Genomic DNA, 24,935 nt, shown 5'->3' with positions numbered 1-24,935 from the left:
CAATTGTGCTCCTTAGTATTTACCTAAGTGAGTTGAAAATTGTTGTATGCCCACATCAAAACCTGCACATGAGTATTAACCGCAGTTTTAATCACAATTGCCATAATTCGGAACCATCCAAGATACCCTTGAATAGGTTAATGAATAAACAAACTGTGGTATATCCATACAATATAATACATCCAATGATAAAAAGAAATAAGACCAGGCGCCGTGGCTCACACCTGTAATCCCAGCACTTTGGGAGGCTGAGGTAGGCGGGTCACAAGGTCAAGAGGTCGAGACCATCCTGGCCAACATGGTGAAACCCTGTCTCTACTAAAAATACAAAAATTCTCTGGGTGTGGTGGTGAGCGCCTGTAGTCCCAAGGAGGCTGAGGCAGGAAAATGGATTGAACCCGGGACGTGGAGGTTGCAGTGAGCCAAGACCACACCACTGCACTCCAGCCTGGTGACAGAGTGAGACTGTCTTAAAAAAAAAAAGAGCTGTCAAGCCCCAGTATGATATGCAAGTATCATGCAAGTATCTTAAATGCATATTGCTAAGTGAAGTAATCCAATCTGAAAAGACTATATATACTCTTATGATTTCAACAATATGTCATTTTAGAAAAGGCCAACTATGGACACAGTAAAAAGATCAGTGGTTGCCAGGAGTTTGTGGGGCATGAGGGGAAAGGATGAATAGGAGAGCACAGGGCAATTTAGGGAAGTGAAACTGTCCTACATAATACTCTGATGAGAGTAAATCCATATTATTATACATTTCAAAATTCATATAAGGCACAACACAAAGAATAAACCTTAATATAAATTATGGAGTTTGGTTTATAACAATGTATTGATACTGGTTCATCAATTATATAACAAAAATACTATACTAATACAAGATGTCAATAATCAGGGAAACAGTGGGGCATGGTAAGGAGATACAGGGGACCTGCACTTTCTGCTCATTTTAGAAATAAATTATAACTACACAAAAAATAAAATCTATTAATTAAAAAAGAAAAGTCCAATTTGTTGCAAAGGTTTACCTAAATAAATACTTATTCATTGAAAATAATTTTTACTTTAAATTGATCATATTGCTCATAGAGTTTCTTTTTTTCTTCTTCTTCTTCATTTTTGAGATGGAGTTTCACTCTGTCTCCCAGGCTGGAGTGCAGTGGCAGGATCTTGACTCACTGCAACCTCTGCCTCCCAGGTTCAAGCGATTCTCCTGCCTCAGCCTCCTGAGCAGCTGGAGAAGCACCCGCCCTCACTCCTGGCTAATTTTGCATTTTTAGTAGAGACAGGGTTTCGTCATATTGGCCAGGCCAGTCTTGAACTCCTGATCCTCAAGTGATCTGCACACCTTGGCCTCCCAAAGTGATGGGATTAGAGGTGTGAGCCACCGTGCCAGGCCACTAATAAAGATTTTCAACAACTCCAGGGAACAGTTAGGAAAGTGCTTCCTTCTTCAAGGAACATAGCACTTACAATATTTTAACAGCTTCTGTTAATTTCTTTTCAATGCTCAGAGAGATTATATTGTTAATTAATATTTTCTACTTAAGTTGGCACATACTTATTGCTCATAAACATTTATGAAGTCTGTCTAATGATATACTCGACCTCTTTGAATAATCATTTCAAATATTTACATATTTACCTTTATAATTCATTTATTTTGAGTACTGTAATATTATCCCCCAGTATGAATTTCATGTAGAGGCTTATAAATATCTAGCTTTTCCCTAGTATCTCTGTGATTACATTTACTTTAAAGTAGTTTTTCCCAGATAGCAACTTTCCCATCATTCAAGAAACTTTTAATGCCATTCACTATTTCTTCAAATAGAATCTCTTTTATTCCTTTTTTTTTTTCCTTTGTAGACTCCAAAGTTTGAGGTTAAAAAGCTACCAAAAAACTTATTAAACAACTCTACAATTATCTGTACCTAAATATTTTGTTACTTTTCCACAGGAAGCTCTGCATTATTCTATATTTTCTATTATTTTAAAACACTTATAAACCATGTCTATTACTACACATTACATTACACTTACTTTTTCTTTCCATATCAGAAATTGGAAGAAATCATTATTATGCTTTAAAATGTAGAATGTAGATATTTCTTTGTTATAATTATTATGCCGAAGTCTTAGTCCATTGGGGCTGATGTAACAAAATAACTTAGACTGTGTAACTTATAAAAATTTCTCACAGTTCTGGAGTTTGGGAAACTTAAATCAAGGCACTGGCAAGAACTGGTGTCAAGTGGGGGCCTTATTCTTCAGAGATGGTGCATTCTATGTGTTCTCACATGGAGGAAGGGGCAAACAAACTCTCTCAGATCCCTTTTATAAGGACACTAATCACATTCAGCTGGCGAAGCCCTTAAGACTTAATCACCTTCTAAAGGCCCCACTTCTTAATACTATCACATTAGGGATTAGGTTTCAACATATGAATATTGAGGGATCACAAACATCCAACCATAGTAGCTGCTAATTCCAATGATAAATGGCAGTTACCTAAATTTCAGTCTTCCACATATCACCTTCAAAGGCCATATCAGTGTACTACCTATTATTTATTTTTACATTTCTTAAACTCAAATTTTAACTTACATATATGTGTAGAGAAAATCTCATTTCAGTATCATGTGGAAAACCAGTACCACTTGCTATAGACTATAGTCATCACAAATAAATACCATGAAAACAGACCAATATTGTTAAATTTTACATAGATCGTATTGTCTGATGAGGGGCTTAGTCTAGTACCTCCTCTCTCTTTCTTAAAGTAAGAGGTTGAATATATTAAGGTGTTAAAGATCTATCATCTCCACGCTAAAATTTGATTAAAAATTCTATCTCAAGAAACAGTAGGTACTGTTAAAGGAAATTTAATTCTCCTTCTGTAAATAAACGTTCCTTAAATTCAGAGCACCCACAATCATTTCTGGTATAATCCAACTTAGTGAATTCACACTTTGGAAATAATAGCATAGAGATTAGTGCAAGAAAGATTTACTTTTATCTCTAGAAAATGTATTTTTTTAAATGGTAAGTCATTGTCTAGTGTGTTTATTTTCACTGTTTTGCTCAAAGGATTTTCTGATGTACAAATCAATTTGTGTTAAAATTCTGAGCAAAGGGAAAACATGTAGCTAAAGCAGAAAAAGCTGTCAAGCATATAATGTGGAATTTCATTTCAGGTTAATGAGGAAAGATTTTTGCATCATACAATTAAATAAAATTTAAGTATTTTTAAAATTTTTTATTAATCACATACTATGTACCAAGTGTTCTTCCAGATTCTAAAATAGAGGATAAGAAAAATTTCAGAAGAAATTGGGCAAAAAGGAAAAACTGTTAATCTTTATTATTTGGGATCCTTGTTACTACCATGTAGGCAACAGTAAATATTTTATTATAAATTTGTAACATGTATTTATAATGTATTATATAACACAGATTTCAACCACTTCAAAAATCAGTATCTTCACTGAATTTTTTATATTCCTAGTACGGGAATGTCATTTATTTGCTTACATATAAAAATATAATAAACTTTAAATTTTTTGCTTAAAGGAGTGAATTAATCACAAAGCTTGAATGACTTAACATGAATGTTCTCAAGGAAAATGATGAATCACATAATTCTGTAAAGAAACCAAATAAAACAAATGAAAAGAAAGCTGCATTTATCAGTGGGGAAAGTGACCAGGGAATGTATACATTCCTATGCCTGACAATAGGCATACAACCTATATGTAATTGAAACATTTTAGAAGGACATATGGAATCACTTTTATTGTTGTATGTGTAAAACTGTTCCTGGAGTCAGGAATTTCTTGTTAGATGTTGGCAATGATAGAACTGAGTTACTAACACAAAATGAGACACTGAAAACCCTATCTTTTGTTTTACTTTGTTTTTATGGGAAAAAATACACAGAACATGATATGCCAGAAATAAAAGAAACAAAAATTAGTACCTAATTTATTATACACATGGAATATGCTGAGAAATTTCAACATGTTTAACACTTTGGTAAAAAGAGTAGGCCAATCCTTATATTTTTGTGACTTTCCAAGGTATTAGCACTTAGTCTTTACATACAAACCAAAGTATCCAAAGACTAAGTAAAAAGTCTAAGGTTATAAAGTAATGGTTACTATGTCCATATTAAAGATATAAAGTAATGGCTAATATGTCTAGCTTTAGATCAGGCTATCTGGGTTTGAATTCTAGCTCTATTACTCATTTAACTGTGGGACACTGTGAACTTAGTAAACCTCTCTGGGTTTTGGCCTTCTTCATCTAGAAATGGGTATGATAATTTTAACAATCTTATAGACTGTAGTAAAAATTACAAATGTCAATATATTTCAAATGCTTAGTGTAGTGAAGTTTCCTATTTTTTTAGATTTTTAGCCTATTCACTTTTATGCAGCAAAACAGGTGACAGAAATACAGAATTTAAACTTTTACCCTCTGATTAGATTTAATTGCATCCTTTCCTCTTACTCTGTGCCCTTTCCTACTTTATATATAACAGCAATTAATGTAGATGCATGAAAATATTAACAATAATTTTGTAAAATACATAATGCCAAAAGTCCTGGTAAAAGTCTTTATATTTTCCAAGTAAAAGAAATGCACTAAATAACTATCATTTTTATTCTAGGCCAAGTGCGGTGGTTCATGCCTATAATCCCAGCACTTCGGAAGACCGAGGCAGGCGGATCACTTGAGGTCAAGAGACCAGACTGGCCAACATGGTGAAACCCTGTTTCCACCAAAAAATACAAAAATTAGCCAGGGGTGGTAGTGCATGTCTGGAGCCCCAGCTATTCGGGAGGCTAAGGTGGGAGAATAGCTTGAACCTGGAGGCAGTGAGCCGACATGGCACAACTGCACTCCAGCCTGGATGACAGAGTGAGACCCTGTCTCAAAAACAAAAAACAAAACAAAACAAACAACCAAAAAACTATCATTTTATTCTAAATGCACATGCTAAATGTTAAAGTGCATTTTCAATTGTATTCAATTTTTTTCTCTATCAGAAAACCATTAAAGCTACTTTTAATGTTAATTGTAGTTAGTTATATTCTGAAACTAATAATTAGAACTTTTTTCTAAAACCAAAGCTTTTTGTAGTTCCAAGCATATCACCCTATTACACTGCTTTACTCAATCCACAGTTCAGAAAAGCAAAACCACAGAATTAATCAGTGCATTTTTATTTTCCATTCTCTATGGTGCCCTTTTGTAGCTTTCAATTATAAAGAGAAAATTATGAAAATAAAATAAAAACCTAAGTCACCTTAGAAAGCAATGATCTGAAAACAAAGTCAAAGGACTGAAATCATTTTAATAAAGTTTCTAAATGTTGAGAATAAAACAGCAGAAGGCAGCTGAATGAAATCATAGCCTGCCCCTCTGAGATCTGGGCAGCAAATTTGCCATGCTACTCCACAAGTCATTTAATATTTTCATTAAAATGGAAAAACTTAACAGGAGTTTCAGTTATGTCCATTATGCTCAGGAGACCAACTTTTGAAACTAGGCCAATAGATCCTGACTAACTCACAAAAGCTAAATGATTTTTTATATTAATCATGCAATATTAAAGCCAGGCAGAGATACTTAAAGAAATTTAGAAACACTGGCTCTATTTTAACGAAGTTCCCACAATTTCATATTGTGGTGCCCACTGTGAATTGATATAGAAATTCCTGTGCAGGCAATGGAAAGATAACCTAAAATCAAAATCACAAAAAGAAGTCCAAACTAACAATTAAACAGATGTATACACCACACAATCTTCATTAAATTAGATTTATAAGCTGTAATTATCTATAATATATTATCAAAGTATGATAGAAGATAGCATGTATAACTTCACCACATACCAAATTAAAGACATTTAATATGCAATTCTTCTTTTCATATGAAAACACAATTTCCTGACACTATTAAGACTTAATTACTTAACAAAAAAGCCCATAAATCAAAATAGTCATACATATTCTTCTCAAAGGCTACAGCAAATGTTTTTGTCAACTAGCCTCTATTCATTCTTCATGGAATTATATCCAAATTTCCCTCTGGGGAAAAAAATTCTTCTTTACATTCTACTAAATGCATTTGATGGAAATCACATATTTAATTCAGGACAGTGATTGATTTGTTGGTGTAGACAGTAATTCTTCCTTATCTGTAGTTTCACTTTCTACTGTTTCAGTTACTCACAATGTAGTACAATAAGAAATTTTGAGAGAATTAGACCACATTCACATAACTTTTAATACAATATATGTTATAATTATCCTATTTTATTATTAGATACGGTTGTTAATCTCTTACTGTGGCAAACTTATAAATTAATCTTTTTTTGTTTTTTTTGAGACAGTCTCTCTCTGTAGCCCAGGCTGGAGTACAGTGGTGTGATCATGGCTCACTGCAACCTCTGCCTCCCGGGTTCAAGCGATTCTCCTGCCTCAGCCTACTGAATTGCTGGGATTACAGGTGCGTGCCACCACTCCTGGCTAATTTTTGTATTTTTAGTAGAGATGGGGTTTCACCATGTTGATCAGGCTGGTCTTGAACTCCTGACCTCGTGATCTGCCTGCTTCAGCCTCCCAAAGTGCTGGGATTACAGGCATAAGCCATGGCACCTGGCCTAAATTAATCTTTGTCGTAGGTATTCATGTAAAGAAAAAAAAAATAGTATACATAGGGTTCAGTACTATCTATGCTTTCAGGCATCTACTGGGGGTCTTGGAATGTATCCCCTACAGAGAAGAGGGGGAGAGCTGTATCTTCCCTACCAGAACCAAAAGTACATCATGAGTATTATTCTGAGGAAGATTTTGGTAAAGAAAAAAGTGGTACTGAAATCTGAGAGGATGTAGAATGTTGCAACTGATGCTGCCATCTTGTTACCATTCAAAAGCAGAGACTGAAGTCAAACACAGCGAAAAGCAAAGCTACAAGTATGAAGAGATGTCAAAAACTGAGAGCTCTATTTATTTCTAAATCCAACAGCCTTAAGTCAGCCCTACCCCCCCATATTAACTCGGATAAAGTAACTATAGGGTTTTTTTTCTTTCACTTAAAAAGTGATTCAAAAACAAAGATTCATAAGTGATCAAAAATAAAAAGAGGAACTATATAGGAATCTTTCAACTTTATTAATGTATTCATTATTTTAATATAATATTTATTACACAATCATTTAGTGTCTGGCAGTATGGCAAGTGCTAAGAATTCACTTAGACTCCATTCTTAATTGTCTTATCTTTCATTTCAGTTTTCCCTTCCCAGGACATCAAGGCTTCTTAAAGCAAAGATATACTTACTTGATGTAATGTGGAGTTTCCTATACCAAAATTCCTTCAGCATTGAGGCACAATTCTATATGCTAGACTATTCATAAGCATCAAGTAAATCAATGATTTTGGACCAAAAGTCAGAAGAATAAAAAGATAGTTTTAAAACTCATTACTTGATATGATAGGGAAGGCAGAAGAGAAATTGAATGGTAAAGGAACAGTGGTCTTCAAATGAATGCAGTATCTTTGGCCAAACTGCCTGTATTTCAAGAGACTGCTACGTGGTGTTAAAACAAAAAATTCTGTGCTTTTAAATATATATATTTAAAGAGAAAACTACATCAGCATGTGGGCATCACCAGGAAATTTTATGGATTCCAGTTTTCTAGTCTTTATTTTGGGAAATATGCTATTAAATTTTAACCCACATGATACTGAAATGCCATATAAGTGAGTTCCACATCTATGTGAAGTAAATTACTTAATGTGCATAATTTGTTTTCTAATTCCTACCTGAAAAATGTTGTCACTTGGAAATTTTCATTTTAAGTGCACTTTAGTATGTTAACTATATTGTTTATCTTATTTTAAGAGATTTAAAAATCTGTGCTTTCTTCTAAGTTGTATCTATGCATTATAATGTTTGCAGGTCAACTTGTTTGTGTAACCCATGTATTAAATTATTTTCATTTTTCATTGCCCTCACCTAATAAATATTAGATGATGGCACTTGATCTTTGATTCTTCAAGAATTACAGAGTTGTTTCCTTAACTCCAGAAGTCACGCCCCAAGGGACAATTCTTTGGACTTTTGTGATGTGCCTTAAGAATCTGAAATAGAATGATTTACACGGTATGTTGCTATATTCTTCTCATGATGCCTCCTACAGAGGATTCATCTATATATTTACAGGTTTATAATTAATAACCACTTTTATATTCTCAGCTTTTATAATAACTGTCATAATGTAATGACAGGAGAGCCATGGCTACAAGGCTGTTTGGAATGTCTAGGCCAGAGAGAAAGAAAGTGCACAAACAATCTAGGGGGATTTAAAAAGCTCATCAGGATTATACGATTATCTACCTAAAGAGTCAGTGTTCACATACAAGAGGGATAAGTAATCCTGAATCTGATCAGGGCTATTCTCAAGGGATTTTATAAGAAGAGAAGGACAAAGGCATTAGCTATAGTCAGGAACTTACAAGGCTGGGGCCAAAACACTGAAAATACTGTTTTCCCCCACTTCCACTGCCACACATACCTCTCTCCTTATGTAATTTAAAATTGTAACAGTAACAAAACTTAAACGTGATAAGATCTTTAAAGTGTCCTGATTGTCCCACTATGACTAATTCAAATTCTTTTATTATTAAACCCTGATATATTAATAAATATAAAAATGTTAGTTTCACCCAGAGAGTGTCTACAGAATATCCCTAGTTCTTGAAAGGGTCTGTGTTATAGCTACAGTTGAGAGGAAAAAGCCTTGGGGAACAGGAGAGAATGTTTTATCCATGTTCACTTGGCTAGAGCTCAGATTCCAGAATCAGGCCCAGAAATACTCCAAAAGAGGAACTAGGAACAGGATGAGTTCAAAGACTCAGCAGACAAACAGGTCACAGTCATTAAGGGTTACGTAAAGAAGCTGCAGTCCAAAGTTTATAAGATGCCTAATGCATGGAATATCAATATGGAAAGAACCAGGTGACACATTCAGACTCACTTCTTAAAATGCCAGATGTTCTAATCTGTATTCCAATTTAGATTAACTGAACAGGATTTATTCCACTGATACAGCCATTGTATCAGAAGATGATGAGGCAAGACTTGACCACAACGCAGAAAAATATGGTTCTCTTGTGTAATACTTGGTTCTAATGTATATGGTATATTAGAAAATTATGGTGGATGTTCATGCGTTATAAGTAAGCATTATCATTCTAACCTGCATTCAGTTCAAATAAACTCATTAAATGTCTCTAAATTTCTCTAGACTAACTTCCCTTTCTGAAATCATTACAATAGCATCAGTAATCTAAACTTGACTCTTTCTGAAAATGTGCAGACTTTAGCATAGTTAGCAGCTGTTGGATAAACTAACATCTGTTATATCTTTTGAGGAGCTGTCATCAATGTAAATATGTAAGCATTTATATGAAAAAGGTCTAATACTGACTCCATTTTAGTTTATTCTATATGCATTTGTATTTATTTACATCTTTAACAAAAAGATGCATTCACATATTATAAGGGGATGTATTTATACATATCACTTCATAATCAAATCAACACAAAGTACCATATTACCTAACCATTAACAAATTAACAGTTATTTTCCCTGAGGGCATAAATGTGGAGGTCAGTAAAGTTTAACATTATGTTTCTATAATTTTATAGGCAGATAATTTTAATCAGATAAAAGTAATGTTTTTGTTAAAATATAATTAAAGAGAGTTCTTAAGTCTATTAGAATAAACTCTAATTAGAATAAATATCAATACATATTTATTATCCAATTACTACTGAAAGACTGTTTTATTTTTGTATATATGACAATTTCAATCATTTTAGGCATTGAGCCCTTTATGTATTTTGTTCTGAAAAGTTAGTTTTTCTACATTTCCTAAAGTGGAAGTTTGAAATCTTCACTGTATAGAAGGAACATTTTATCAAAGATGTGTTTTGCATGCATTATTCCTCCAAGTATAGCAATGTATTAAGGGAAAGGCATAGCGTAGCAAATACTAGGCTTATACCTTCTTGTGAATTAATAATTAAGTCTTAAAGACAAGGGACTTTATTGACCAGTTCTGTAGGATTTATAGCTTTATAGAATATTAAATACTTGAAGCTCATAAAATTCTGACAATAATTAAAAATGGATTCTAATTTTCAAATATACTCTGAATCAAAGTAGAGTAAATGTAATTATGTATGCAAGGTGCATAGAAACAACACAGATATATAACTATGCTGGGCAGTATGTATGGAAATGTAGCTTGATGAGATGGAGATTCTCTTATCAACAACAGTTAATGAATGTGCATAGACACAGATATCATTACAATTGAATTTTAAATAACTTTTCCTCTTACTATGTACATATACCCTCCTCCTTTCTTCTCAGCAGTTATATAAAAGTAAGGCTTTGCTGAATTTGCCCTTTACAATTCATGATCAAAGCTATGATAAGAGAAGCAGAAAAATAAAGTGCAGCAAATGAAGAGTAAATTATGGCCAAAAATGGTTTTGTGATTCTTTATGTAAGGCATGTTGTTAAAACGTAAATGTATACAAAACTCAAATTACTCTTCCACACTGACAGTGATGAGCACACATAAACAATTTTTTTTGTCTCTAACTCTAAAAAAAATCCTAGTCAACATGATTTGTCTTTTCATGATGCTGCTAAAGAAATGGCCACCATTTTCCACAATAACACACTGATCTGACTGCCCCAATGCTGTATCTTCTTCACCTGAAATATTTCCCTGACTTTTCCTATAAAACATGGTATCAGCTCCACTGAAAGAAGTCTCTGTTTTCTCTCCTTATTCATGTTCTGGATATTATTATAATACCCCTTCTATGTCCAGAAAAGGGAAAGAATTTCCTCTGCACTCCCCGTGAGAAAAACAGTCTCTTTCTCCAACATTGCCTTATTTCTCCTAATAAAATAAGTAAAATGAGTGAAGTACTTAATTCATGTCATTGAGAAAAAGCTCAGTAAAACCCTGCTCAGTCTTTCTGGTCCTCTCTCCTTTCCTTCACAGCCACCCTTCCCGCTGTTTTCTCTTCCTGGAACAGGTAAGCTTTAGGGAGTTAGAAAGTAGGTCTGGATGTGGGGACAGGGTAGGAGGTATGCCTTTCTCCATCCTGCTTAGTCTGTGATAGCGTGGGCAAGTTCACTGGGGATTGGGGTAGGAAACAGAAAATACATTTTGCCCTCAGTTTCATGCTGTGGCTCCTTTCCAGCTTTAGCTAACCTTTTCCTCCCTTACTTGAGATGCTGGTTTACCATTGGCTGACAACACGAACAATCTATAAAGAGCCTGGAGAATCCAGGCTCCAGGCTGAAAAATCCCCACTCAGAAATGCCTATTCTCATTTCTGCAATATTACAAAGAATAGATATTAATTTTACTCAGAATAACAGTAGTCTTTTAATTAAAAAAAACATTTAAAAGCTTTATTTCATTTCAGTAAGAAAACCTTCAGGCAGAATTCAACACACAAACACTGAAGATTTTTTTTTTTCATTCTTAAATCCCAGCCCATGTTAGTTTTTACTGACCTGAATAAATGTATCTTCCTCACCAAGTGAGCTTTACAGATTTAGGAAGCACATAGCAGATATGGCTTTAATATAGAATGGCCAACACAGATAGACATACAATTGGAAAGGGAAACTGTCCCACTCAACTAGACGTCCACACCCATGAGAAAAGACATCATAGGTGATGACACTTACTCACTTAAATGTGGAAAACAATGCACAAATACAGCCCTTTGCAAAATGTGCTAAGTGATGCATACATATTTAGATTTCTCTGATCAGGAAAAAGTGTTCTCTACCACCATGTTTTATAGATTTTCTAGGGTGTGTGGGTGTGTCTGTGTGTGTGAGTGAATGTGTGTGTGTGAGTGTGTGTTTTCTTTTCTCTACCTTATTACAATGGTAGCAACTGCTTTTCTCATGTCTTTTCACCTGTCGCTGCAAATTGTGTCAAACATTGACACATAGTAAATACAGAGTAGATATTTACTGAATATTTTAATGAACTTTTTAATGAATTAGGGAACACCTAGGTAAAATGTTAGGGATATAAAATGAGATCCAGACACACATACCTCAAGAAGCATACGAGGTTGAGAGAAGTGCATGATGCTGAATAAAACACTGGTTTTGAAGAAGGCATGAGCAAGAGAGTTTTGGTTAGATAAGAAATAAGTAGAGAGGTAAAACAGATTGGCTGTATAACAAAGAAAACTTGTGATTTTGTCGCTATTATCACATAATTAGGATCTCAAGAATCTCATGGAATAACAATACATTACACCATTTATGTAAACATTTGTATGTTTTGAAATAACACTGAATTTTTTAGTATAACTTTTTAAAGTGTTTAAATTGTTCAATTTAACTCTTTAGCTGCTTTTTGGTAAAATACATAGATGATGTCCATTTTCCAAAACACATTAATAACTTCTCAGTAACTTTTGCTTCTATTGTAAGAAAAAATTATTTGAAAAACTGAGAGACTGTTAATCTGTTTTGAATGTAAGAATTACACTGACTTATGTCACTCAGACATAAGTCAATCCAAAAAAGTAATTGTCTTGCTCTTTTGCTATTTGTATGTCCTTCTACCTCATGTTATCAGATTTCAGCTCCTACTTAGTACTAACTTTAATCAGTTTTTTAAAAACTATAAATACATTTAACAGGATTATACAAATACAGACTGTATTTTTTAATTATGAAAACAGTTATATTTATGTATTGTTTACATGGTCCCACTATTAATATTATTGATTTGTGATTGTATATTACAGCCAGAAGAGGTGTTCTACTTTATTCTGCTTCCATATCTGAAAGCCATGGTCCACAGAAGTAGGAGGTGCAACCCAATATGCAGATAAATCATAAAATGAAAATCTGTCATTATGTTTTAGCCCTATATAATGGAGAGAGGAAGGGATAGCAAATGAATATGATGGGCAACATGATTCTTGCCTTAAAAGTACAAATGTAAGAGTGTTTTACAGATAGCTAGAGTCCTTGCCAGAGTTTACAATGCTTTTCTCAGCAAATAAGTTGACTGCAAATGAATAATGTTTCAGGTGACATAACACTTGCAAATCTAGAAGCAACTTACATTTCAGTTTTGAAGAATTCTATGATAAACAAGTCATTTTGTCTGATACACAGTGGTAGATGATTAAGATGGTGCATTATACTGTATTCAGAATTCTTTTTTTTCAGGACTATCAATCCAACCATAATGGTATGTTATAAAAACATGCACACTTGGACAATTCCTCTCATAACAATAGCATTCCAAATGTTTCTGCAGATGTTTCGCGAAGATTGCCTTTGTGACAAGAATGGATGTTTAGATGCTCATAAGCATAAAAATCTAACACAAGAACAAGGAGAAACATTCTCCCATGAGAGTTAAGTTTGTTCATCTCAAGTAATTTTGAAACTGAAGTTGCATGTGAGACAGTGAATTTAATAAACTTTTATACATAATAGAAATAATGTTACTTATGTGGCCATTTTTAATGGGGCAGAATGTCTCCCTGAAGAAATAAAGCTATTTAAAACTTTACAGGGAAAATGACAAGGCCTTTTTATATAAAAAGTAGGTTCAGATTTCACTTGGATATTTAGCAGCAGAAAGAAAGGTGATGTTACTATAAACTGAATTAGCAGTATACAAAGCTCCTTACGTTCCACAGACCTGTAGTTTGCCTATTAGAGCTACTAATGATCTTGATGGATGTTACAACTGTTAATATTCTTACCTTTTATTTCCTACCTCCTTTTGTAGCGCTGTAATAAATCCTTACAACTGAGGTAAGTTAAATGGCCCTTTTTTTTTATCTGAAAGTTATGGAATTTATTATATGTATCTATTGTATATAAAAAATAAAAAGAACTAGAAACTCTGGTACCTAGATAATTATAGCATTGTTAGATGGTAATGACAATTTTCCATTATTCCAGTGTATTTATTATTATATTTATCCTAGTCCTAAGGGACTTAAGTTAATTTATTATTTATATCTAAAATTTCTCCACTTTGATCTATTTTCCCACAGGGTTTGTAAGCACTCCAGTAATGTTGACAATGAGAGGGATAATATTATCAATGTAAGCAATGCTTTCCAGATTAAAAGAAGAAAATTATATTTTGATTACCAAAGAAAACATGATTTTGTTTTAAGAATTTTTCAATTATGCTATAAATAATTATATTATTTCTAAAATAACAACATTGAATCTGAAAATAAGATTAATTATAATTTGAAATTAGTTTTTAATGAGCATTCGAAATGATTTCAACACAAGAAAAGCATGTCAAATAAACCAATATAGTACATTTTTAGAAATTAGGAAGTTTTCAATAAGCTAATGAGAATCTAATGTCTTATTATCATTCATTTATATTGACATCAAATTGCTGAAGTTCATTGTGATATGTATATGTATCAGCCTAATTTTGATGGTGATGAAAACAGCTTTGTTTTAGAAGTATTCATATATTGCAAAGAGTCTCTATTGAGAGATACAGGTCTTGTAGTTGGCCTACTTAGTTTCAAGTGTAGCCTAGCAGTACTCTTTAGTGAACAAATATCTTGTGTCAGATGTTGTGTTACATGCAGCTTGTGATAAAGATATGTTATCCTGTGTTGATGGAGCTTACAAGCCTAGTGGGTGGGGCACTGTATTTATCAATTGACATCTTTTTAAATGTGCAAAATCAACGCTCAAAACACATCTTATGGAGATTCTATGTTTATTATTTTATGCAAATTTGTAAAAAGCCCTTGACAGAGTCAGGGAGGTTAAGGAAGATTTTATTCAAAAGTTTCTAGATCTGAAAAATAAATAGGAATTAACTAGAAAGGTAAAGAGGGTAAGGTCAAATGTCTTGAAGCAGGCAAGCGTCAGGAAGGAAAACGTCACTGTGGCAGAGCAGCAAGCCAGTAGAAGCTTGAAACAAGATGAGGCTAAAAGATGATGTGGAGCCAGATCTTTTAAGCCCTTGCAGATACCTTAGGGGTTTCTTACATGAGCAAGAGTGGGTCTAGAATTACAATGGGACGGTCAGATTTGCATGTTAAGTAATAAAATGAAAAATTAAAGAAAACTAAAGTGTCCATAGTGGGATGTAACACATGAGGAAAATATATCTGACAAGGATATTAAAGAAATAGCAATAAAAAATTGAGTTATTCAACTCCTCTGTATGCCATTGTCCTAAATATAAAATAAGGAAGTTAGACTGGATACCTTCTAAGATACTTTCCATTTCCAACATTCTATGAATCATGTACAGTAGTTCCCCCTTATCTTGAAGGATACATTTCAAGACCCCCAGTGGATGTCTGAAACCAAGGATAATACTGAACGCTACACACACTATGGTTTTTCCTGTATAATAACAGCAGGTTAGCCTATAAGTTATGAATAAGCTGGACAAAGGGATGATTCATGTCCCAGGCTGAACAAAGCCAGACAGCACAAGAATTTATCATGCTTCCCAAAACTGCATGCAATTTAAAACTTATTAAATATTTATTTGTGGAACTTTACATTTAATATTTTCAGACTGCAACTGACCACAGATAACTTAAACCGTGAAAAGCAAAACCTCAGATAAGGGGAGACTACTGTAATTTGGAAGTGAAACCTGCACTGATTGGGAAGGATACTTGTTATAGAAAGTAAAGTACCTAAAAGCTGAGCCACTACTTCTCCAGGGCAATTGGTCTCCTTGATTGTTTTGCAACAGGGATATTTTAAATTGGAAAACTGAAAAGATAATGAAGAGTTTTTATTTCTATTTCCAGATAAGTTAGCCTTTACAGCATTTGGATGTTGCTTCCGCAAGGGGAAGACAAGCCCTCACTTAGCTCAGCTAAAGGGTTATCTTAATGTTTTTGAGGGGTAATAAGAGAAATTACTGTTAGTTGGAAAAAAAATAGAAAGAGACAAATAGAAAATTTCCTAAGACTCTGTAAGAGACATTCTTGGCTCTCTTCTCACTCCACATTTGCCACAGTGATCGGTGACTTGAAGCACCATGACTTGAAGTATCAGCTAAGTGAGTATTAGTCTCAATTTTTTCCTTTCAATATTAATCTATCTCTGTAATTTCCATCCCATTTTTCTACTACCTCCTAAGCATCAATAACCATAAAAGATAAGTAAGAGAAAAAATTAAATGTATTTCTGAATAAATAACATTTCTGCAATTATAAAATTCTTAGCTCTGGATAATGAAATTACTGCTTATCAACCTGTACGTGGAGTAAAAGCAGTACTTAGAGGGAAGTAAAATACACTTGAAGAATTACATTAGAAAAAAGTAAAGGCAAAAAATTAATGAAGTAGAAACTCAAAATAAGAAGTTAGAATAAAACAGAAGAATAAACCCAAAGAATACAGCAGAGGAAAACTCATACTCTTAAGAGCAAAAGTTAATGAAAGGAAAAATAAAGGAGGAGCAATAAAGCAAAATGACTAATAAAAGTAGCAAATATCTGGGAAAAAAATTTAACAACAAAAGAGAGAAGCCAAATATAAATAACATTGGGAATTAAAAGGAGGACATGATTATAACTCTAGCAAGGAGTAAAAAAATACAAAAGAATCACTAACAATTTTACATAAGAAATATTTAAAGTTGAGGTTCATGGCAGGTAATTAGATCATGAGGGTAGAGTCCTCATAAATGGGATTAGTGCCCTAATGAGAAGAGACACAAGAGAGATGACTTAGACACTGCCATGTGAAGACACAACAAGAACATAGCCATCTGTCAACCAGGAAGAGGGTCCTCACCAGACACTGGTGGCACCTTGATCTGCTAGCACCTTGATCTTGGAGTTTTCGTTCTCCAAAACTGTGACAAATACATGCTGTTTAAAGCCACCCAGTCATGGGATCCCAACATGACTAACACACCCATAAAACTAAATAATATGGGAAACTCATACTTAATGATAATATTTTAACAGCATTTCCCTTGAACTCAGAAATGGGAAAAATGTACCTGTGTTATTTCTGTTTAACATTTTATTGTGAATTCTACTTAGTAAATTGTAAAAGAAAATTAACACACAGCATCAGAAATTAGAGTTGTCATTATTTGTAGAAAAGATGATTTTTAAAAAATTGCTTAGCAGCATTGCTGGATATAAGATCAATATGTTCAAAATATTTTTCCCTTTACATTTCAGTGTATTATTTTTCACAGATATTTTAACTACTCTTTTTGTGTGGAAGATAAATTAGAGTTCTATGTGATATTATACTAATACAAGAGTATTAATCTGTTCTCATTCTGCTAATAAAGATAAAACTGAGACTGGGTAATTTATAAAGGAAAGAGGTTTAATTGACTGACATCTCCACATGGCTGAGGAGGCCTCACAATCACGTCAGAAGGCAAATGAGGAGCAAAGTCACATCTTACATGGCGGCAGGCAAGAGAGCTTTTGCAGGGGAACTCCCACTTATAAATCCCTCAGATCTCATGAGACCTATTCACTACCATGAGAACAGTAGGGGGGAAACTGCTACCATGATTCAACTATCTCTACGTGGTCCCATCCTTGACATGTGGGGATCATTACAATTCAAGGTGATATTTGGGTGAGGACACAGCCAAACCATATCAACTCTTTAATAATAACATACAAAATAAAATAAATATGCATTGTGTCTACATTCCCAGGTGCCAAAAGTGTTTTATTTTATTTTATAGGGTCCCTTTATCACATAATTTAACTAAACTTTCACTGTTAATTAATGAGTACAAATAATTCAGGTAAGTTTTACTGAAATCTAAAATCCAAGTGGTTCGGAAAATATTTCTGTGGTTGATATGGTTTGGCTGTCTGTCCCCACTCAACTCTCCTGTTGAATTGTAATCTGCAATGTTGAAGGTGAGGCCTGGTAGGAAGTGATTGGATCATGGGGGCAGACTTCTCCTTTGCTGTTCTTGTGATAGTGAGTGAGTTTTCACAAGGTCTGGTTGTTTAAAAATGTGTACTACTTCCTCCTACACTTTCTTTCCTGCTCTGATGTGAGGATGTGCTTACTTCCCCTTTACCTTTGGCCATGATTGTAAGTTTCCTGAGGCCTCTCAGACAGCTTTCCTGTACAGCCTGTGTAACTGTGAGTCAATTAAACCTCTTTTCTTCATAAATTACCCAGTCTAAGGTAGTTCTTTATAGCAGTGTGAAAATGGACTAATACAGAAAATTGAAATCAGGAGTTGGGTCTTGCTATAAAGATACCTAAAAATGTGGAAGCAGCTTTGGAACTGGGTAATGGGCAGAAGTTAGGACAGTTTTTAAGGCTCAGAAGAAGGCAGGAAATTGAGAAGATTGAAGCATTCTAGAGACCTGTTGAATGGTTGTGACCAAAATTCTGATAGTTACATGGATAATGAAGTCCAGGCTGAGGTGGTCTCAGATGGAGATGAGGAACTTATTGGGAACTGGAGTAAAGGTCATTCTTGTTATGCTTTAGCAAAGAGACTGGTGGCATTGTGCCTCACTCTAGAGATCTGTGGAACTTTGAGATTGAGAGAAATGATTTAGGGTATCTGCTGGAACAAATCTCAAAGGAGCAAAAGCATGTAAGATTTGGCCTGGCTGCTTCTAAAAGCCTATGCTCATTTGCAGAAACAAAGAAATGACCTGAATTTGGAACTTATATTTAAAGGGGAAGTAGAGCATAAAAGCTTGGAAAATTTGCAGCCTGGCCATGTGATAGAAAATAAAAAGCTATTTTCTCAGGAGAAATTCAAGTCAACTACAGAAATTTGCATAAGAAAAGAGGAGTCAAATGTTAAAAGCCAAGACAATGGGGAAAATGCCCCCAGGGCATTTCAGAGACCTTCATGGCAGCCCCTCCCATCACAGGCCTGGAGGCCTAGGAGGGAAAAATGGTTTCATGGGCCAGGCTTAGGGCCCTGCTGCTCTGTGCTGCCTTGAGACATGGTGCCTGGCATCCCAGACTCTCCAGCTCCAGCCATGGCTAAAAGGGACCAAGGTGCAGCTCCAACCATTGCTTGAAAGGGTGTAAGCCCCAAGCCTTGGTGGCTTCCCCGTGGTATTGGGCCTGTGGGTGCACAGAAGACAAGAGTTGAGGAGTGGGAGCCTCCACCTACATTTCAGAGGATTATGGAAACACCTGGATGTCCAGGCAGAAGTTTGCTACAGGGGTAGAGCCCTCACGGAGAAACTCTACTAGGGAAGTGCAGAGGGGAAATGTGGGGTTCGAGCCCCCACATAGAGTTCCCACTGGGGCACTGATTAGTGAAGCTGTGAGAAGAGGGCCACCATATTCTAGACCCCAGAACGATAGATCCACCAACAGCTTGTACCATGTGCCTGGAACTGTTGCAGGCACTCTATGCCAGTCCATGAAAATAGCTGCATGGGCTGTGCCTTCCAGAGCCACAGAGGCAGAGCTGCCCAAGGCCTTGGTAGTCCATCCTTTGTGTCAGAGTGGCCTGGATGTGAGACATAGAGTCAGAGGAAGTTAGTTTGAAGCTTTAAGATTTAATGGAGGCACTGCTGGGTTTTGGACTTGGGTGGGGCCTGCAGACCCTTGGTTTTGGCCAATTCCTTTATTTTGGAATGGGAGCATTTAACCAATGCCAGTACCCCCATTGTATCTTGGAAGTAACTAGCTTGTTTTTTGTTTTACAGGCTCATAGGCAGAAGGGACTTGCTGTATGTCAGATGAGACTTTGGATATGGACTTTTGACTTAATGATGGAATGAGTTAGGACTCTGGGGAACTGCTGGAAAGGCATGATTGTGTTTTGAAATAAGAGAAGGACATGGAATTTGGGAGGGGCCAAGGGCAGAATAATATGATTTGGTTCTGTGTTCCCACGCAAATCACATGATGAATTGTTATCCCCCAGTGTTGAAGGTAGGGCCTGGTGGGAGGTGATTGGATCATGAAGGCAGATTTCCCCCTTACTGTTCTAGTGATAGTGAATGAGTTCTCACAAGATCTGGTTGTATAAAGTTGTGTAGCACTTCCCCTTTTACTCTCTTTCTCCTGCTCTGGCCTGAAGACATGCTCACTTCCCCTTCACCTTCTGCCATGATTGTAAGTTTCCTGAGGCCTCCCAGTCATGCTTTCTGTACAGCCTGCAGAACTGTGAGTCAATTAAACCTCTTTCATCATAAATTACCCAGTCTCGGGTAGTTCTTTATAGCAATGTGAGAACAGAATAATGCAGTGGTTATAAAAAGAAGAGCTCATTTTTATTTTGATCTACATGTGCTAATTTAATCAATCTAGGTTTTGTAACTTTACTGAGCAGGATTTTATTAAAATGTCACAAATGTACATATTTATGACATATTCTCAGTCTAGCAATTAGAGAATTCAAAACTCAGAAAAGCAAATTTAACAACTTAAAAAAAAAAACAAAGCTACTCTTTCAAAGAAAACTCTAGGAATTTTGAAGATGGACGTTCATTTCTAATTTGATTCATAAAGTTCTAATCAATGAAGAAATATTTTCATTTCTCAAACTAAAACTAATCTTTTGTTCTGAGAAAATACCAGTGTAAGTTATAAATATTTAATTATACTTTCCAAACTCTTTTTTCTTTGTCTGTTGTGAAGATGGAGAAGGCTGAAGTCATATTGATACTGGAACTGAAATAGTATAAAAGTGAAGATAAGTGAATTGGTTCACATATTAGTCATATGGCAGGCAGCCAAATTCTGAGTCTGGGAAGCTTTGTGCCGTATTGGAAGGAGCAATGGATGAAAGGAGAGACTTTTATTTTACCAGAATCTTGCTGCTGAGATTTGATCTTTGTGCTGAAAATCTGCAGTGCTATTAACCTTGGCCCAAAGCTTATGTTGATTTGGTCTCCTTCTTCATCTAATTATTCCCTTGGCAGCTTCTTCTAGCTGCCTATCTGTTACCCATTCTCCCTTCCTTCTCTTGATTGTTTTCTCAGCATCATAATGTACTAGCTAAAAATACTTCTGCCTACCCCTTGCTCCCTTTCATCTATAGATGACACATGGCATACTTATGAACAGTAAGATATTGGCAATAGTTTCTGTCAAATGGCTTCATTTTCCAAGTAAAGCTTCTTTGGGAAAAAAGCCTTTGTAACTCTTCTTTCTTCTTCCTGCCTAGGACCCATGTGCACAGGCTTAGATGTGCAACAGCCATATCTAATTACAATAATGGCAAGAGCCACCTACTATGCTGGTGAAACAAGAAGACAGAAAAAGAGGACCACTGCTAACCCATTTGACACCTGTGGAATTAGAAATAAGGTACTCCCTCTTGGTAAAGGGTAGCCCCAAGCTATTTAGGGCCCCAAGCCCCTTGCCCCACAGGTCCGATGGCCTTTTGCATTTCCATTCACTATCACTAGAACAATAAGGGGGAAATCTGCCTTCATGATCCAATCACCTCCCACCAGGCCCCACCTTCAACACTAGGGGATTACAATTCGTCATGTGATTTGGGTGGGAACACAGAGCCAAATCATATTATTCTGCCCTTGGCCCCTCCCAAATTCCATGTCCTTCTCATATTTCAAAACATAATCATGCCTTTCCAGCAGTTCCCCAAAGATGCTCAATACTACACTGAAGGCTTAAGAAAAAGTCCGGCACCTTGCTGATTTCAGTAAGGCCCTCAATTAACTCTAGATTGCTATTCCCAGATTTCCTGTACTAGAATGAAATAAAATCTGTATTTATTCAAACAACTCTAGGGTCATATTTTGTTTGTTTATTACTCAGAGCCAAAGACATCACTAATTGATAACACTGCCTATGAGGTTTATAGTTGTTATTCATCTGTTAATATATGTAAATATAAACTACTGTATTCTTAAATAATACAATATTGTTCTATGTAATATTTTTCTTTAAGCTTAAAAATTTAAAACTTCTTTAGAAATTTAAATTTAAAAGATCCAACATTTTCAAAACTTGTCACCAACATTTTGCTCGTGTGAACAAATGTATTGCACGTTGACGTTGACAACACTCGAGAATTCTCTTCTAAACACTTTGCTGAGCACAGTTAGCAATTAAGTCATTTTGACACTCCGACAAATAGTACATTACCATAAAATAGACCCGAAAGACTGATGTTTTCCAAATTATGAAAAAAGTAAACCTATTAAATAATATAAGAATAAATACTATAATTTTGGAGATAGAACAGTTAAATGCAAAATAAAACCTTATATGTATAAATCAGGAGTCCTGATTTAGACAGAATTATGTTAGGCATGTCTCTCTACCTAAATTGTTTCCATTGTAAAGTAAGATTTGATTAAATTACTTTAAGATGATCTCCAGCTTTAACAACAATCTGTAAGAAGTCAAAATTATCATAAGTGAAATTAGATGTCGCTGTATGTCAAATGCATGCCTTTCTTCAGAATGTTTACCAAAAGTCCACTACATAATGACGGAGAATACAAAAGACAAAATTGTGCTTAATCTAGGCTTTCTAGTGAAATATTTCAGAGATGCAGAAACAGAAAGAAAATTTCCTAGCCTCTAATGCAGGATTTTAGTGTGGCAAGTAGTTCCAGTCTAAGGAAAATTGAATTCCATTCAAGAAATTCCCCATGGAACTATGCATCCATAGGCCATTGCGCTAGCAAGGTCTTCCTTGTTATGTTCAGAAAGCTTATGTTAAACTGACCATAATGAGTTTCTGACAAAAAGAAAACTTAGACTTCTTAGATTGTTCAAAGTTTAAATGAGGGATAAACTGCTTTTTTGTTTGCTATAGAAAAATCGTTCAAAATTGAAATTCAGGTAAATATCTTAACCTATGTATCTTAAATGTGTCCTAAGTGTAGAAGGACCTAAAATATCTATAATTCAAGAGTTCTATTTATGTCATTATGTACATTTTAGGTAATCATTCATAAGCAAAAGTTCAATTTACTTGAAAAAAGACTAATGTTTCTTCGTACTTCAGTGTTTTTGAAAAAGTAATAGGGCATCAGAATTTCCATGGGTGCTAGATAAAAACATAGATTCTGAGGCATAACCTAAACCTAAGGAATTAGAACCTCTAAGGAGGAGTCCTATGAATCTGCATTTAAAATGAGCTTTCTGGGTGTTGCACACTAAAGCTTGAGAACCACTGCTCTTTGCCTATTGAGAGCAGAGACCATCTGTTTATCTGCACTGAAAAGGCAACCTGGACTGTCACCAAACACCTGTCCTCAGGATTGCCAGGTATCTTGCCCTTCCAGCCTGGTTGGGTATCTTCCTGTTGGCTACAATGAGTCCAGCCCGCATGTTTCTGCTCAGGTCTAATGGATATTCCTCTTTTACTGGTTTGGCTATTAATTATTCATACTTAATCCCACTTCTCCAACTAAATTTTGGGCTTTCCTCTCTCAGCAGATCTTACTGTATCTTAAAAGAGAAAACAGAACCTCACTTTACTGCTTTACTTTTTCTGATATCAGACTGAAAGACTGTTTTGGATTCCAACATCTTTATCTCTATTTCTACTTCTATCCTTACAGTCTATTTGATCAAAAAGCCCCTTTTCTTATATAACACAATCAGATTTGCAATTTGATCACACTACCTGGGTTTTCTTTTATTCATCTGGCATGTTTGCTAGGCCTCATATCTACTGAAGCTATCAGATTTTCAGATCTATTTTTTAAACTGAAGCAAAGTCATGCACTGAAAAGACATTGTGAATAATGGTTAGACACATAATTTTCAGCAGAAACTTTTAAATGTTCATGTTTCCCCTTAATTTAATTAATATAATGTATTTCTAATTCATTCATTTAACCAAATTTTATTGAGCAACTACTATGTGCTAGTTATTGTGTTGAATAAAAGGAAAAAAGTGAAAAAAACAAGACTTGGAATTCACCCTTTAGGAGTTTGGAGTATAATCTGTATTGAAATCACTTTTAGAAGTAGTTGTTTTATTAACAATTTCTTCACAAATTTTCATATATTCTCTTTCAAAATCATATTGACTTAAACACTTGGACATCAACTTAAAGAGGATATGGGGAAGAGCTAAAATCTACAGAGACTCAGATAGTTACAATTGTTTACATTATTGAATTGGGATGAATTTACAAGAAAAAATTAAATTGAGCCACTCACCTCTCTCTGTCAAGGGACAGATCAGTGAGGGGAGAGATTCTTAAAGAATATAAAAATATTTATTAAAAATAAAAAGTGAAGTATATTTTGCTTTGTTCATATCAATATAATTCAGTGGATTTTTAACCCTGCTAAAGACAAACAATTTGGAGAAAGCATTGTTTTTCCTATAAATGTTTCTGTTTTCAGTGGCATTTTAAATAATTCATTCATTCATCCGATATTCATTCAGTGCCTCTTTTGAATCCTCCTTGATTTATCCTAAAATGTTAAGGATAAAACAGTTGGTAAAAATCAACATTTCCTATCCTTAGTGAATTCCATTTTTGTGACAAAGACTGATGTTAATCAAATAATAACACAAATATTGTACTTGTAAAAGGAAAACTTTTACTATGGAAATTCTTGGTGTGATAAGAGAGTAAAATATAAATTTAAATGATCGAAGGGAGCTTGGAAGGCTTCTTTGAGGAAAGGATGAACATGTTCATGACTGAAGACTGGGAGGATGGGAAGGCATGCATGCTCAAAGGTTCTGTCTGCTCTTGCAGAGAAGATAGTACATTTGGAAAACTAAGTGTGAGCATGATTTCATTTATAAAACATTTTAAAAATAAAAAACCTTAAGTTGAAAGCTAAATAAATCTATTTCCTAATAAAAAGAGAGTTTTTAAAAAGATAGTATTTCATG

At 34.8% G+C, this 24,935-nt stretch overlaps 1 protein-coding gene and 1 long non-coding RNA gene across 10 annotated transcripts in view; one reads left to right on the top strand and one right to left on the bottom strand.

The window, feature by feature from the left end:
* The window catches only part of CCSER1 (coiled-coil serine rich protein 1), a 1,477,902-nt gene that overhangs the window by 258,779 nt on the left and 1,194,188 nt on the right, over window positions 1-24,935 (bottom strand). The gene's annotated exons all lie outside the window — the stretch shown is intronic.
* The window catches only part of LOC124900733 (uncharacterized), a 56,617-nt gene continuing 52,997 nt past the window's right edge, over window positions 21,316-24,935 (top strand). For both annotated transcript variants that reach the window (XR_007058191.1, XR_007058190.1), the window contains exon 1: window positions 21,316-21,403. This is a non-coding gene — a long non-coding RNA (uncharacterized LOC124900733). The remainder of the gene's footprint in view (window positions 21,404-24,935) is intronic.

The sequence above is a fragment of the Homo sapiens genome, chromosome 4 (genome assembly GCF_000001405.40).
Source record: "Homo sapiens chromosome 4, GRCh38.p14 Primary Assembly".
NCBI classification, from domain to species: Eukaryota; Metazoa; Chordata; class Mammalia; order Primates; family Hominidae; genus Homo; species Homo sapiens.
The sequence above is the reverse complement of the archived record's forward strand: the minus strand, read 5'-3'. Positions and strand labels throughout refer to the sequence as shown.